The sequence below is a fragment of the Homo sapiens genome, chromosome X, assembly GCF_000001405.40.
Source record: "Homo sapiens chromosome X, GRCh38.p14 Primary Assembly".
Lineage (NCBI taxonomy): Eukaryota > Metazoa > Chordata > Mammalia > Primates > Hominidae > Homo > Homo sapiens.
This window is the reverse complement of record NC_000023.11, coordinates 81190844-81206168: the sequence shown is the minus strand read 5'-3', so window position 1 is coordinate 81206168 and position 15325 is coordinate 81190844. Positions and strand designations below refer to the sequence as shown.

General features: G+C 37.3%; 2 protein-coding genes across 6 annotated transcripts in view, besides 2 other annotated features; one reads left to right on the top strand and one right to left on the bottom strand.

The window, feature by feature from the left end:
* The window catches only part of SH3BGRL (SH3 domain binding glutamate rich protein like), a 96446-nt gene extending 92379 nt beyond the window's left edge, over positions 1–4067 (bottom strand). The window contains exons 1-2 of one of the 3 annotated variants that reach the window (XM_011531014.2): positions 3924–4067; positions 3593–3732 (exon numbers count right to left, since the gene is read on the bottom strand). Coding sequence is in view for 1 of the 3 variants with exons in the window: in NM_003022.3 (NP_003013.1) it covers positions 3924–3968 (45 nt within the window). In the remaining 2 variants the exon portion in view is untranslated. The other 2 variants (NM_003022.3, XM_047442354.1) reach the window with 2 other exon arrangements.
* Positions 3872–4041: an enhancer, noted in NCBI's record as "active region_29793". NCBI's record gives its function as "activates an Ori minimal core promoter by ATAC-STARR-seq in GM12878 lymphoblastoid cells {active_cell/tissue: GM12878}" and the evidence as "EXISTENCE:reporter gene assay evidence [ECO:0000049][PMID:35858748]".
* Positions 4162–4411: an enhancer, noted in NCBI's record as "active region_29792". NCBI's record gives its function as "activates an Ori minimal core promoter by ATAC-STARR-seq in GM12878 lymphoblastoid cells {active_cell/tissue: GM12878}" and the evidence as "EXISTENCE:reporter gene assay evidence [ECO:0000049][PMID:35858748]".
* Positions 4256–15325, top strand: part of HMGN5 (high mobility group nucleosome binding domain 5) — an 88215-nt gene continuing 77145 nt past the window's right edge. For all 3 annotated transcript variants that reach the window (XM_047442514.1, NM_030763.3, XM_047442510.1), the window contains exon 1: positions 4256–4432. The gene's annotated coding sequence lies outside the window, so the exon portion shown is untranslated. The remainder of the gene's footprint in view (positions 4433–15325) is intronic.

Below are 15325 nucleotides of genomic sequence, written 5' to 3'. Positions count from 1 at the left end.
GAAACCTAAAAATGGGAGGAAATATTTTCCAACTATCCATCTGACAAGAGATTAATATGTGGAATATATAAGGAAGTCAGTAGCAAAAAAGAAACCCACAAAAAAACAAATAATCCAATTTTTTTAAATGGCAAATGATTTCAATAAACATTTCACAAAAGAAGACATACAAATCGCAAACAGGTATAAGAAAAAATGTTCCGCATCACTAACCATCAGGAAAATGCAAATCAAAACTATAATGAGATAACATCTCACTCCAATTAAAATGGCTATTACCAAAAAGATAACAAATGCTGGTAAGGGCACTGAGAAAGCGGAATACTAGTACACTTTTGCTGGGAATGTAAATTAGTACAGCTGCTATGGAAAACAGCACAGAGATTTCTCAAAAAAACAAAAATAGAACTACCACATGATCTAGAGCTGCCATGGAAAACAGCATAGAGGTTCCTCAAAAAACAAAAATAGAACTATCACATGATTTAGCAATCTCACTTTTGGGTATATATCCAAAAGAAAGGATATCAGTATATCAAAGAAATATCTGCACTCCCATGTTTATTAAAGAACTATTCAAAATAACTATGATATGTGGCTAAGTGTCCATCAACGGTGAATGAATAAAGGAAATGTGATATATATATATATATATATATATATACACACACACACACACACATATATATACACACACTTATATATACACACATATATATACACACACAAAATAAAATATTATTCAGCCATAAAAATGATATTCTGTTATTTGTGACAACATGGATGAGCCTGGAGGACATTATTTTAAGTGAACTAAGACATAACACAGAAAGACAAAAGACATACCACACGTTCTCACCCATGTGGGAGCTAAAAAAGTCGATCCCATGAAGATATTGGGTAGAATGGATGGTGGTTACCAGAGGCTGAGAAGGGTAGGGGGAAAGAAGGATTAAGAGAGGTTGGTTAATGAGTACACAAATACAGTTAGATAGAAGGAATAAGATCCACTGTTCAATTGCACAATAGGGTGGCTATAGTTACCAATATAATTTACTGTATAGCTAGAAAAAACAGCTAGAATGTTTGGAATGTTCCCACCACAAATAAATGATAAATGTTTGCGGTAACGGATATCCTAATTACCCTAATTTGATCATCACACATTGTGTGCATGTATCAAAAGATCATATGTCCCCCATAAATATGCACAATTATGATATATCAATAAAAATAAAAAATGAAATCCATTGCAAAGACCAACATACTTGTTTTCATTTCTAAACTTTCAAGAAGCAAGTGCTACTCTTCACTATTAGGCCACTTTTTTTGTTTTGTTTTGTTTTTGAGAGAAAGTCTCGCTCTGTTGCCCAGGCTGGATTGCAGTGGTGCGATCTCTGCTCACCGCAAGCTCCGCCTCTTGGGTTCACGCCATTCTCCTGCCTCAGCCTCCCGAGTGGCTGGGACTGCAGGCGCCCGCCACCATAATAAGTTAACATTGTCTTGCCAATTATCACAGATCCAGATCCCCCACTCTGCCCAGTATAACCAGTATAACATCTGTTGTTTTTTTTTTTAATGACAACCAGTAGGAAGATTAAGAAACAGTCAGCTACCACCAATCCAAAGCAAAGAAGCTTTTAACTGTTCTTCAGACAACTAAACTTAGTCACTTATTGAAGTATCTCACTATGTGCAATTGTAGGACTCCATCAGGATATTTGCTCAAAACTTTCTAACTTATGTATTAAAACAAACAGGGCATCAATCTTAAAGGAAAACTTTAGTACAGCAAACTGAAAAGTGCCTTTCTGAAGTAAATAATCACCACTCCATTCATGTTACAAAGAAGTACTCACTTTACACTGTTTTGGTATTATTTAAAAGTGTTGTAATAGTATAATAAAGCAAGGATTTATTTTGGCATTATGAAGTAGAATTTTGATAACAGGTTCATTGAACTATAATTACTACAGTAGATAAATTTCTAATAAATTTCTAACTACTCATGACAAAAAATTGAAATAAAATACAAATACCATAAACATCTGCCATTTGCATGGTCTTCAACAATAAAGTCCAACAAAGATGGGAAGAATAGACACTGAAGACTACAGAGGAGGGAGGGAGGAAGGCAAAGGTTGTAAAATTACCTATTGGGTACTACGCCCACTACCAGGGTGAGAGGTTCAATGGTACCCCAAACCTTGCACAGTATACCCATGCATCAAATCTGCACATGTACCCTCTGAATCTAAAATAAAAGTTGAAATCTAAATAAAAAAAAAAAGGAGTCCAATAAAGGAAATAATAGAAGACAGCAGCCATTTCTAAGGCTCTTGGAAACTTAAGACTTAACAAAGAGAGGTGCAGTTATTCTTACTTGAATAGAAATTCTGAAAGCAGTTTCTTGTTGAATCTACTTTTAAAGAAGGGGTAGAGGAAGGAGAAAGCAAAGAATAAATAACAGTATTGAAACTGTATGACTCCCAAAGCAAAACTAACTGCCTGATCTGTTCAGTCTCATTAGGGGTTTAACTAAAGGCATTAAGTTGGACTTTACAATTATTGGATTGAGTTGAGACTCTGAGCAACTCAAATTTTACTTTGAAATATTAGACAACATGTATGGAAAATAATAAAGCAAGAGGCTCATAAAATTAGGTCCAAAGGAAATATAAAAGGTGTTCTTTTTTTTAACCTAAACTTATTCAAAAAATGTAAGATTAAATTTTCTGATATTCCAAAATTGCATAAACATATCCACACATGGTGGCCAGAGAAGACAAAGTTCAAATATCAAGGTTCTTGTGATTTAACATAACCTCCACTTCCATTCCACATCCTCTCAGGTGTAAATAAACAAGCCAAAAAATAAAAACACACAACAACCTGGATTAGCTGCTGCTCTAAAGCTCAAGAAGAGGGAAGGGGTTCCTATACCCTACAATCTGAACCCACACATCTGTTCTTGCCACTGTCTGCCTTTCTCTTGAGTTGTAAAAAGCAGAAGCACTTTCATTTATCATGGATATACACTCATCTTGCACCCCAGTTTATCATATTCTCCCGACAGCTGCTGAAAATTTGTTATTCTAAATTAAGAGTAAGTGAATCCATGAAAGAGAAAGTCCTATCATTTGAAGCAGCAGCAACTCAGGCTGCCACTACACAAGAAGCCACTGAGCTCCCTATCCAGTTCTCAATATACTTGAAGCAGTGAGAGAAATTTAAAAGTAAAATATTTTGAAAGAATAGAAACAGTCAAAATAAGGGACAATATGGGGGGAAAACTGAATCTCGTGTCATATTAAGTTAAAAAAAAATTTACGTCATTGTTACCAACTTCCCCTCCCAATTTGTCTAGTTCTAACAGGCCTTCAAGCTCAAGTTAACCACTTTCTTCTACACACTCTCAAAATAACTCTATTACCAGGGTCTCACTCACCCAGAATAATTACAATGCCTCGGTAGGCCTCCACTCAATCCCCACCAGTTACAGCATGTGTACCCCCATCCTTTACAGAAGTGCACTCCTCCTTGTCTCAGTACTTAGGGCGTATTCATCAAATGTCTCACTCTTGAAACTCACCAGTGTGCGATTTTACTTGACTTCACGTAACCCTAAAGACCGTATAGCACCATCTCCCATCTCCCAAAACTTGGTAGCTTTCGTTTTCCTTCAAAGCAGAAATGTGCCCCCCAACGTCACGAAGCAAACAAAGCTGAACTCTATGTGGAAAAAAAAAAAAATGAAATCGATGCAACAAAGGGAAAAAAGGGAAGAAGAAGGGTGGGATCGGGGATGCATGAGTCTTCCAAAGGAGAAGCTGCCAGAGGAACTTCTGCATTTTAATGGTTCTGGGGCAGCAGAGGACTGGTGTGTAGGAAAACAACAAAGGTGGACTCCCCACTCTCCTTACCGCTGTAGAGCCAGAGGAAGATGCAATATATACACGGATCACCATCCTGGGAACAGCGGCTGCGGTTGTTTGGGTCCTGAAAAGGGCTGTGGAGCAGCTGCAGCAATGGCTGGAATCCAGCTAGGGGCTGAAACAGCGGTTGGCAGAGAAGGGTGGGGGAAGGTGGAAGGAGAACTCGCCAGAGCCCCGCCTCCGCCTTTAGCAGCTTCCACCGAGCTCTCTAAGCGCTGCAGTTCCAGCCCAAAACCCCGGAAGGAACAGGCTGTTTGCATCAATTCTATTTTTTTTTAATAGGGAATCTCGAATAGCACCGCGAGATCTGTTGAAACATTGATTTTTGACGATTCCTTCCCTGAGAAGAGGGCGAGGAGAAGAAGAAAGAAAAAGGAGAACTGAATTGAATTAGATTAGCATGAAGGACCTTTTCACGCGGAGACTAAAAGTACTGCGCATAACTTCCTGCTCAGAAATATATGCAAATAAGAAGACAGATCCTGAAAGAGCAAGCTGTATGTTGAAAACCCATGTTCTCAAAGCCTTGCGCATTTTAAGATTCCTATTACGTAGTGATTTTTCTGATCTTAGCTCGTTGTAGGAATTAGGCACTAAAGTACTGAGCAATGCTGCAGAGTTTTGAAGGAAAGTTTCAGGTTTCCTTAAGCCCAGAAATGGCAGGATTGGTTTTCTTTTTGAATTTTGTGTTTTGTTAAATTAGGGAACCCTGCTTCCGTGGGAATTTGCAGGAGGCCTGATTGGCAAGTTTAAGAATGAAGGAATAAATTACAAAGAAAAGATTGAAAATATTGTGTAAAAAGATGGATGATTTTTGTTTTGTTTTGCTTTTTAACTGACTGAAGTAAGGGATTTGGGAGAACATATTGCAGATGTTGAAATGGTGAAGAGAGAGATCAGATGGTTATTTGTAGCTCTAAGGAAATGAGCAAACAGTTAATAATGTCCAGAGACAGACCATATACTTCAAAGTGTAGTTTTAGGTTCCCAGATTATGTTAAATGAACAGAAAAAAAGGAATTTGCAAGATGAATGAGAGTGGAGAGGAGTCAGTCGCTTGTCCTACTTCTTTTCCTTTGCTGTTTTTCCACTGTCTCCAGTCTAGTGGTTTACTGTCTTTGCCTAGGCTCAGTGCTTACAATAGCTTTGTTAACTGTTCCCTACCCACAGGTTTTCCCTTCTCCAATCTGTCTTAAATACTAATTCCAAATTAATCTCTTTACATGTTGTCCTTAAAACAACCTCAAGAGGTGGGTACTATTACATTAATTTTACAGATGAAGAAACTGAAACTCAGAAAAATAGTTTTCCTAAAATCATATGGTTAGTACATTCCAGAGTTAGGAACTCCAGAGGCCACCTTCTTATTTTTTTTTAATTATACTTTAAATTCTAGGGTACATGTGCACAACGTGCAGGTTTGTTACATAGGTATACATGTGCCATGTTGGTTTGCTGCACCCATCAACTCGTTGTTTACATTAGGTATTTCACCTAATGCTATCACTCCTCCAGCCCCCCACCCCCCGACTGGCCCCGGGGTGTGATGTTCCCTGTCCTGTGTCCATGTGTTCTCATTGTTCAACTCCCACATATGAGTGAGAACATGTGGTGTTTGGTTTTCTGTCCTTGTGATAGTTTGCTTAGAATGATGGTTTCCAGCTTCATCCATGTCCCTGCAAAGGACATGAACTCATCCTTTTCTATGGCTGCATAGTATTCCATGGTGTACATGTGCCACATTTTCTTAATCCAGTCTATCACTGGGACATTTGAGTTGGTTCCAAGTCTTTGCTATTATGAATAGTGCTGCAATAAACATACATGTGCATGTGTCTTTATTATAGAAAGATTTATAATCCTTTGGGTATATGCTCAGTAATGAGATTGCTGGGTCAAATGACATTTCTAGTCTAGATCCTTGGGGGATCGCCACACTGTCTTCCACAATGGTTGAACTAATTTACACTCCCACCAACAGTATAAAAGCATTCCTATTTCTCCAAACCCTCTCCAGCATCTGTTGTATGATTGCCATTCTAACTAGCATGAGATGGTATTTCATTGTGGTTTTGATTTGCATTTCTCTCATGACCAGTGATGATGAGCATTTTTGCATATGTCTGTTGGCTGCATAAATGTCTTCTTTTGAGAAATGTCTGTTCATATCCTTTGCCCACATTTTGATGGGGTTGTTTTTTTCTTGTAAATTTGTTTAAGTTCTTCGTAGATTCTGGATATTAGCCCTTTGTCAGATGAGTAGATTGCAAAAATTTTCTCCCATTCTGTAGGTTGCCTGTTCACTCTGATGATAGTTTCTTTTGCTGTGCAGAAGCTCTTTAGTTTAACTAGATCCCATTTGTCTATTTTGGCTTTTGTTGCCATTGCTTTCAGTGTTTTAGTCATGAATCTTTGCCCATGCCTATGTCCTGAATGGCATTGCCTAGGTCTTCTTCTAGGGTTTTTATGGTGTTAGGTCTTACATTTAAATCTTTAATCCATCTTGAGTCAATTTTTGTATACGGTGTAAGGAAAGGATCCAGTTTCAGCTTTCTACATATGGCTAGCCAGTTTTCCCAGCACCGTTTATTAAATAGGGAATCCTTTCCCCATTGCTTGTTTTTGTCAGGTTTGTCAAAGGTCAGATGGTTGTGATGTGTGGTGTTATTTCTGAGACCTCTGTTCTGTTCCATTGGTCTATATATCTGTTTTGGTACCACTACCATGCTGTTTTGGTTACTGTAGCCTTGTAGTATAGTTTGAAGTCAGGTAGCATGATGCCTCCAGCTTTGTTCTTTTTGCTTAGGATTGTCTTGGCCATGTGGGCTCTTTTTTGGTTCCATATGAACTTTAAAGTAGTTTTTTCCAATTCTGTGAAGAAAGTCATTGGTAGCTTGATGGGGATAGCATTGAATCTATAAGTTACTTTGGACAGTATGGCCATTTTCACGATATTGATTCTTCCTATCCATGAGCACGGAATGTTCTTCCATTTGTTTGTGTCCTCTTTTATTTCATTGAGCAGTGGTTTGTAGTTCTCCTTGAAGAGGTCCTTCACATCCCTTGTAAGTTGGATTCCTGGGTATTTTATTCTATTTGTAGCAATTGTGAATGGGAGTTCACTCATGATTTGGCTCTCTGTTTGTCTGTTATTGGTGTATAGGAATGCTTGTGATCTTTGCACATTGATTTTGTACCCTGAGACTTTGCTGAAGTTGCTTATCAGCTTAAGGAGATTTTGGGCTGAAACAATGGGATTTTCTAAGTATACAATCATGTCATGTGCAAACAGGGACAATTTGACTTCCTCTTTTCCTAATTGAATACCCATTCTTTCTTTCTCTTGCCTGATTGCCCTAGCCAGAACTTCCAACACTATGTTAAATAGGATTGGTGAGAGAGGGCATCCTTGTCTTGTGCCAGTTTTCAAAGGGAATGCTTCCAGTTTTTGTCCATTCAGTATTATATTGGCTGTGGGTTTGTCATAAATAGCTCTCATTATTTTGAGATATGTTCCATCAATACCTAGTTTATTGAGAGTTTTTAGCATGAAGGGCTGTTAAATTTTTTCGAAGGCCTTTTCTGCATCTATTGAGATAATCGTGTGGTTTTTGTCATTAGTTCTGTTTATGTGATGGATTACATTAATTGATTTGCATATATTGAACTAGCCTTGCATCCCAGGGATGAAGCCAACTTGATCGTGGTGGATAAGCTTTTTGATGTACTGCTAGATTCTGTTTGCCAGTATTTTACTGAGGATTTTCACATCGATGTTCATCAGAGATATTGGCCTAAAATTCTCCTTTTTTGTTGTTGTGTCTCTGCCAGGCTTTGGTATCAGGATGCTGCTAGCCTCCAGAGGCCACCTTCTTAACTATTACTGTTAACTCACTGCCTGGAAGAGTGAAAGTACTAAAAAAAAAGTTAGCAATTTTTTCATCCTAAAACACCACTTTCTTATATTACTGAAGACAACGTAGGCAGAAATACTTAAATTAGCTCTCCATTGACTATCGAACTAAACCTAAATTATGTTGCTAAACAGTTTTCACCATAATCTAGGCCCACACTATTCATACAATCTTACTTAGTGCTCCCCCAAACTAACTTCCCTATGTACGTAATCATTGTTGACTACCTGCTGCAATCATCATGCTTATGATCACTCTCATGCCTTTGCTCTTCCTGTTTCTTTCTTCACCTTCTCCCCACATTCTCATAACCTTTTCTGCCCTCTCCACTTATCCAACTCTTGCCTTTGCTAGACACAACTCAAAATCTTTATACAAATAATCAGGCAAAAGTAAGTCAGCATGATCTAGTCACCCTCCTCATTGCCAACATCAGGGCTACTGCTATTGCACTTTTCGGCCTATGCAACAGGAGACTCTTTCTTCTGTTTTTTTTTTTTCATTTTGCAAAATGAACATAATTTGTCTTATACTACCGTAGTATGACATCCCTTTCCCTTCTCAAGTGGACACTGCTATGCTCTCACCCCTCACTCAGAACTAAGAGTCTCCAGGTGAGTTATTTTCATTTGCCACACCAAAAGTAGCTGAATTTTCTTGATCAGCAAATACCCCCTCAGCAGAAGCACTCTTTATCATCACTGAGCTCTTTGGAGTTGTAATTCACCCTCTTTTCTCGCCCTGATAATTCCTCACTTTCCTCTTGAGGTCTTTGATATTTTTCATGTATTATAAAATACCTTCCAATATTTTAAATTCCCTTTATCAAGAGAGTTCCAGATCACCTATCCCCACCTTTTCCAGAAGCAGAAATTTTACCTACTTTTAAACTTTTGAGAAAGTTAAAATATTATTTACCTACAAAACACTACAAAATTATGGTGTAGAAATGTTTAATGAACTGTCTGAAAAACATTATCATGTCAACTTCATTGAATATTAAGTTTACTATTTGTAAAAATTTCATTTCATTTGAAAACAATTTGGAGTTTACATTTTTATCTCACATAAGCAGAATTCCTGTTTCTGCAGAGAAATCACTGTCGAGCATATTTTAATGAATTGCTTGTGGCTGAAAATTTTTTAAATTTTAAAACAAAGTTATACAAATTTTAGAATATGCTTAATATTTATATTTAAGTGGGATTATAAGTACATTTGCATTTTTATGTTTGATACACTGTGAAGTGGTGTGTATTAGTCTGTTTCACACTGCTATAAAGAAATACCAAAGACTGGGTAATTTATAAAGGAAAGAGGTTTAATTGACTCACAGTTCTGCATAGCTGGGGAGGCCTCAGGAGACTTACAATCATGGTGGAAGGCAAAGGGGAAGCAAGCTTGGACCTTCTCACATGGCAGCAGGAGACAGAAGAGGGAGGAGCAACGGGGGAAGAGCTCCTTATAAAACCATGAGATCAGCTGGGCACAGTGGCTCACGCCTGTAATCCCAGCACTTTGGGAGGCTGAGATGGGCAGATCATGAGGTCAGGAGATTGAGACCATCTTGGCCAACAAGGTGAAACCCCATCTCTACTAAAAATACAAAAATTAGCCAGGCGTGGTGGTGGCCGCCTGTAATCCCAGCTACCCAGGAGGCTGAGGTGGGAGAATTGCAGGGAGAGGTTGCAGTGAGCCGAGATCACGCCACTGAACTCCAGCCTGGCGACAGAGCTAAACTCCTCAAAAAACAAAACAAAACAAAAACAAAAAACAAACAAACAAAAAAAACCCATGAGATCTCATGAGAACTCATTCACTATCACTAGACCAGCATGGGGGAAACCACCCCCATGATCCAGTCACCTCCCACCTGGTCTCTCTCTAGACATGTGGGGATTATGAGGATTACAATTCAAGATGAAATTTGGATGGGGACACAAAGCGTAACCAAATCTTCCCGTTTCCAAAGTAAGAATGTCTGGAGTCTTGGTGGTCTTCAAAGAGCCTTGATTTTTAGAAGAACCAACAACATCACTCAATGATGCCCTAGTGCCCACCTTCCTGCCTCCTCTGGCAGATGGGAGACCAGTAATATAAAATTTTTTCTCTATTAACACACAACACATTAACACATAAATATGTAAATCACATACAAAATTACCGCACATTGGAGGATATACTGTTGTTCTCTTCAAGTGCCAGCAGAAGGGGAGTATCTGCAGAGGAGATAGGGTAGGTTAAGTAACAGAGTGTTATGCTTAAGAATTCTTATCCTGTCTCAGTCACCTGCTATGTAGTGATGTGCATCAGCAGGAAGCAACATTGACTCCTTACCAGAGGGAGTCCTGAAGTATTGTGTTCAGAGGTCTGATCTCATCCCAGATGGTACGTTCATGATTAGAGCCACTAGAGGGCGCCACTCAGCTATAGAAAAACAATGTGGAAGGCTTTGAAGCGCCGGACTTAAGAGATGTAATTTTTATTAGCTCTTTACAGAATTCCAGCAGAGGGATAGAATGTCATTTCATGCGTTGTCCCTGAGCAGTAACAGTAAATGGTCTCAAGGAAAAATAAGGCTCTACTCAGGAGCATCCCCTATTTCCAAAACCTTCTGATAGTTTGAGTAAGGGTTACTGCCCCACTCTTCCGTTGGGTATCACTGACTCCAGAGGAGGAGCGAATAAATTTGGTTATCATTGGAAAGAGACAGGATAGGGATAGGGTGGAATTTTAAACCCCTTAAAACCTCAGAAGTCACTCTAACCCTCTGTGATGGTTAATACTGAGTGTCAACTTGAATGGATTGAGGATGCAAAGTATTGTTCCTGGGTGTGTCTGTGAGGGTGTTGCCAAAGGAGATTAACATATGAGTCAGTGGACTGGGAGATGCTTACCCACCCTCAGTCTGGCTGGGTACCATCTAATCAGCTTCCAGCACTGCTAGCATAAAAGCAGGCAAAGGAACATGGAAGGACTAGACTGGCTTAGTCTCCCAGCCCACATCTTTCTCCCGTACTAGATGCTTCCTGCCCTTGAACATTGGAATACAAGTTCTTCAGCTTTGGGACTCTTGGACCTTCGACCACAGACTGAAGGCTGCACTGTCGGCTTCCCTATTTTTGAGGTTTTGGAACTTGGACTGGCTTTCTTGCTCCTCAGCTTGCAGACAGCCTAATGTGGGACTTCATCTTGTGATCGTGTGAGTCAATGCTTCTTAATAAATTCCCCTTTATATATACACCTATCTTATTAGTTCTGTCCCTCTAGAAAACCCTGACTAATACGCTCTCTATCTTCCCCCCACATCCTACCAGTAATAACTCCATAGAGTGGTTGTCCAGAAATTACTTATGAACACCTCCAGTTACAGTGAGCTGAAAATTCCAGAGGCATTTCCATTCTGCTTTTAGTCAGCTTAAAACATTAGAACATTATTTTCTGAGATTAAGCTGAGAACTGTTTCCTTTCATGTTTCTTTGATTCTAATAATTACCCATTATAAACTCATCTTTATCCTTGTAATATGAAGCCTTCTCTTCTCCAACTTAGTATTTCCTGTTTCTCTAGCCATTCTTCATAAGCTGTGATCTCTAGAGGTGTCACTAAATATGTTTCAGTTTGTCAGTTTCTCTCTTCTACAAAAGGTCGTCCCAGAATTGAATGTCATAATCCAAGAATGGTATGACTAGCATTGTATAAAGTAGTGTAAGGTCCTCATTCTGGACACTTTGTTTCTCTTTTAGCCCTTTTATTTTCTGAGGAATAGTATTTCACAGTGGTTTTAATTTACATTTCACTGATTACTAAGAAGTTGTGCATCTTTTCATATATTTATTGCCATTTATATATTTTCTTTTGTGGAATATCTGTTAAGAACTTTTTCTATTTTTCTATATTTTTTTGTCTCTATTCCTAATAGCAACATTTTGTCCCTATGTGTTGCAAGTAACTTTTATCCTGAGGCTAGCCTTTTTTTAAACATTTTTAATTAGTCATATATAAAATATTTTTCTTTATGGTTAATGCTTTTCTGTGAATTTTTAAAGAAATCTTTCCAGACCCTGAGAACGTGAAAATGTTATCTTACATTTATTTATAAAAGCTTTATTGTGGTGCTTTTTACATTTAGATCTACATTCCACCTGGAATTGATTTGTGTGTAAGGTTTGAGATATATGTCAAGTTTAATTTTTTTCAAATAGCTATCCAATTATTCTAGCACCAATAATTGAAACTACACCCTTTTCCCACTATTTTGCAATACCATCTTTGTCAAAAATCAAATGATTATACATGCGTGAGTCTGTTTCTGGTGTCTGTATTCTGTTTCATTTGTCTATTTGTCTACCCTTGTGCCATTACCACACTATATTACTTATTATAAATTTAAATATCTTGAAATGTAATATGGCAAATTCTCCTACTTTGGTCTTCTTCATGAAGTGTCCTGACTATTCATTGCCCTTTATATTTCCTTTTAAAAAGGTAGAATGTTTATAACCGCAATATACAAATACAATTGATTATAGTATGTTGACCTTGTATCAAGTAATTTTCTAAACTCATATGTGAATATTAATAGTTTATCTGTATATTCTTTTACATTTTCTATTTACACAATAACATCAACCATAAAAAATGGCAGCTCTATTTTTTCTTCCAATCTTATACTTTTTATTCATTTTCATTTCCTTATTTCCTTTGACACCTCCAGAACACTCATTCCTTTCACCATTGTTGTGTAACAAACAACCCTAAAGCTTAGTGGCATGAAGCAACCATTTTATTATACTCACAGATTCTGCAGGTCAAGAATTCAGCCAGGGCACAGAGGTGACTACTTGTCTCTTCTCTACTGTAATTAGGACGTCAGCTGGAAAGCCTTGAAGGCTGGGAGTCACTTGATGGCTGCAGGCTAAAACCATTTGGAGGTTTCTTTATTTGTGTTTCTGGTGCCTTTGTTGAAATGATTCAAACATTAAGCTCAGATGTAAATGTTGACTAGAGTGCCTGAATATGGCTTCACCACATGACTTTCTCATGGCATGGCAGCTTCAGAGAGTTGATCTTCTCATACTGCAGCTTACAGCCCAATGAACAAGGCAGAAACTAGATCATCTTTTATGACCTTATCTTGGAAGTCACATAGCATCATTTCTCCGAACAGCTATAATCCAGAAACAAGAAAAACAACACTTGAATGGACTCCAAAGGAACCTTTAAGGTGACTTGGATAGGCTCCAAAAGCAAAAGTTATATGTCTTTGAAAAAAGATAGCATCATCTGGAGCCTCATTGTTAGTACCACATTTTCATCTCAAAGTCTAGCACTCGATTGAAAATAATCTTACCTAAAAAAATAGATGTGACTGAAAACTAAAGACTAGAAAAGCACACAAAAATTAAAAAGAGGTATTACCATCAAAGGAGTAGCAAAAAAAAAAATTATTGCTGACTGTACATCAGAACAAATGAGAGGCAGAAGACAATGAAAACATGGCTTCAATGTTCTAAAAGAATATAACTGTCAGCATAGAATATAACTGTGCTAAAATAATAACTGTCAGCATAGAAATCTAAAGCCAACAAAAATATCCCTTACAAACTAATGTGAAATAAAGACACTTTCATATAAACAAAAGAGAATTATTCACCAAAGTTTTACACTAATTGAAATACTAAAGAATGTATTTCGGGTAAAATAAAAAAGATTATAGCTAAGAGATGCAGCAAGAAGTGAAGAACAACAGAAATGGCAAATATCTGAGTAAATCTGAATGAGCAATGTGTAAAACAATAATAACAAATGTCTTGTGAGTTTAAAATATGTACAGAACTAAAAGACATAAGAAAAATTTAAAATTGTATATATAAATAAAAACCTTCCCACAAAGTAAACTATAGGCCCAGGTTGTTTCATTGGCAAAATTTACCAAACATTTAAAGAATAAATAATGCCAATTTTACCCATATTCTTCAATATAATAGAAGAAAAAGGATATTTCTCAATCATTTCAAGGGCAGCTTAGTGTTCATTCCAAAGCTTGATGAGTACATTTCAAGAAAAGAAATACACAGGCCAATCTCATCTCTTGAAAAATAGAAGCAAAGTTACTAAACTAAGTAGTATCAAACCAAATCCAGTAGTATATAAAAAGGATAGTACTTTATGACCAAGTTGGGTTATTCTAATTGTTAAGCAGAACACTGGGCATCACTTGCTAATCCCAGGAATTGACTCTAATCACATATGCCCATTGCATCGCTTTATCAGAGTCATGAAGGAGAACATAATGCAGTCAAGCCCTGGATGAAACAACACTTTACTTATATAGAAAAAAAACAGAGCACAATCAGCTTCAATAGTGTGTGTTGGTACCCTCCATGGCTAGACGGTACCCCCTAGCAACAAACACAGAGCAACTGGATAAGCACACCCTTCTTGTGCCTTAGAAAAAGGACCCTTATCCACACCCACACCAACCCAGTCTGAAAGACAGAAAGCTAGGACATGTCTGAGAGCCATGGATGCATACACTTAGTAAAACAAAAGAACACTTAGTAAGTCTGAAACAGAAAAATATTTCTAGCCTGGAACAGGGTGTGTAGGCTGCTTATCTCTTGCTAAGGAAATATTTTAGTCCCAATGCCTATTTTAAATGGCCATGTGGGGGTCAAAAGACTGCATACACAAGATTGCCTTTCCCAACACTAAGAATTCAGGGTTGGTTCAACACTTGAAAAGCAATCAATGTAATGTGCCTCATTAACTTAAGAAAGAAGAAAAATCACATGATCATCTCAATAGATGAAGAAAAGTAATGTGATAAATTCAGCTTCCCTTCATGATTGAAAATTAGCAAACTAGAAATAAAAAGAGCCTCTTTAATCTGATAAAAGATGTATATAAAAAGCTAAAGCAAACAGTATACTTAGTGGTGAAATATTAAACTTCTTCCTGTGACAATGGGAATGAAACATGAATACCTGCTATTACCTCTTCTACTCAACATAGTGCTAGATATTCTAGGCAATATAAAAGAAGAAAAATAAAATAAAGTTATAATTTTTGGAAGGGAATAAATTTAAATGTAACCAATTGTAAATAATACACATGTATGTAGAAAATACAAAAGAAAATCTAATAAACTATTTTAAATAATAAATTGTTTGAGCAAGATAACTGCCTGCAAGATCAATATGTAAATAGAATGGTATTTGAACATATTAGTAACAGACATGGGAAATAAAAATGTTTAAACATACCATTTAAGATAAATAAAACAATATTGAAGGAAAAGAACAGAGTTGGAGGACTGACACTACCCAATTTCAAGGCATACTATAAAGCTACAGAAATCAAGACAGTGTGGTATTGGTGAAAGAACAAATAGATCAAGGGAATAGACTAGAGAGCCTAGAAATAGACCTACATTAATACAGTCAACTGACCTTTAATAATGAAGGCAATTGA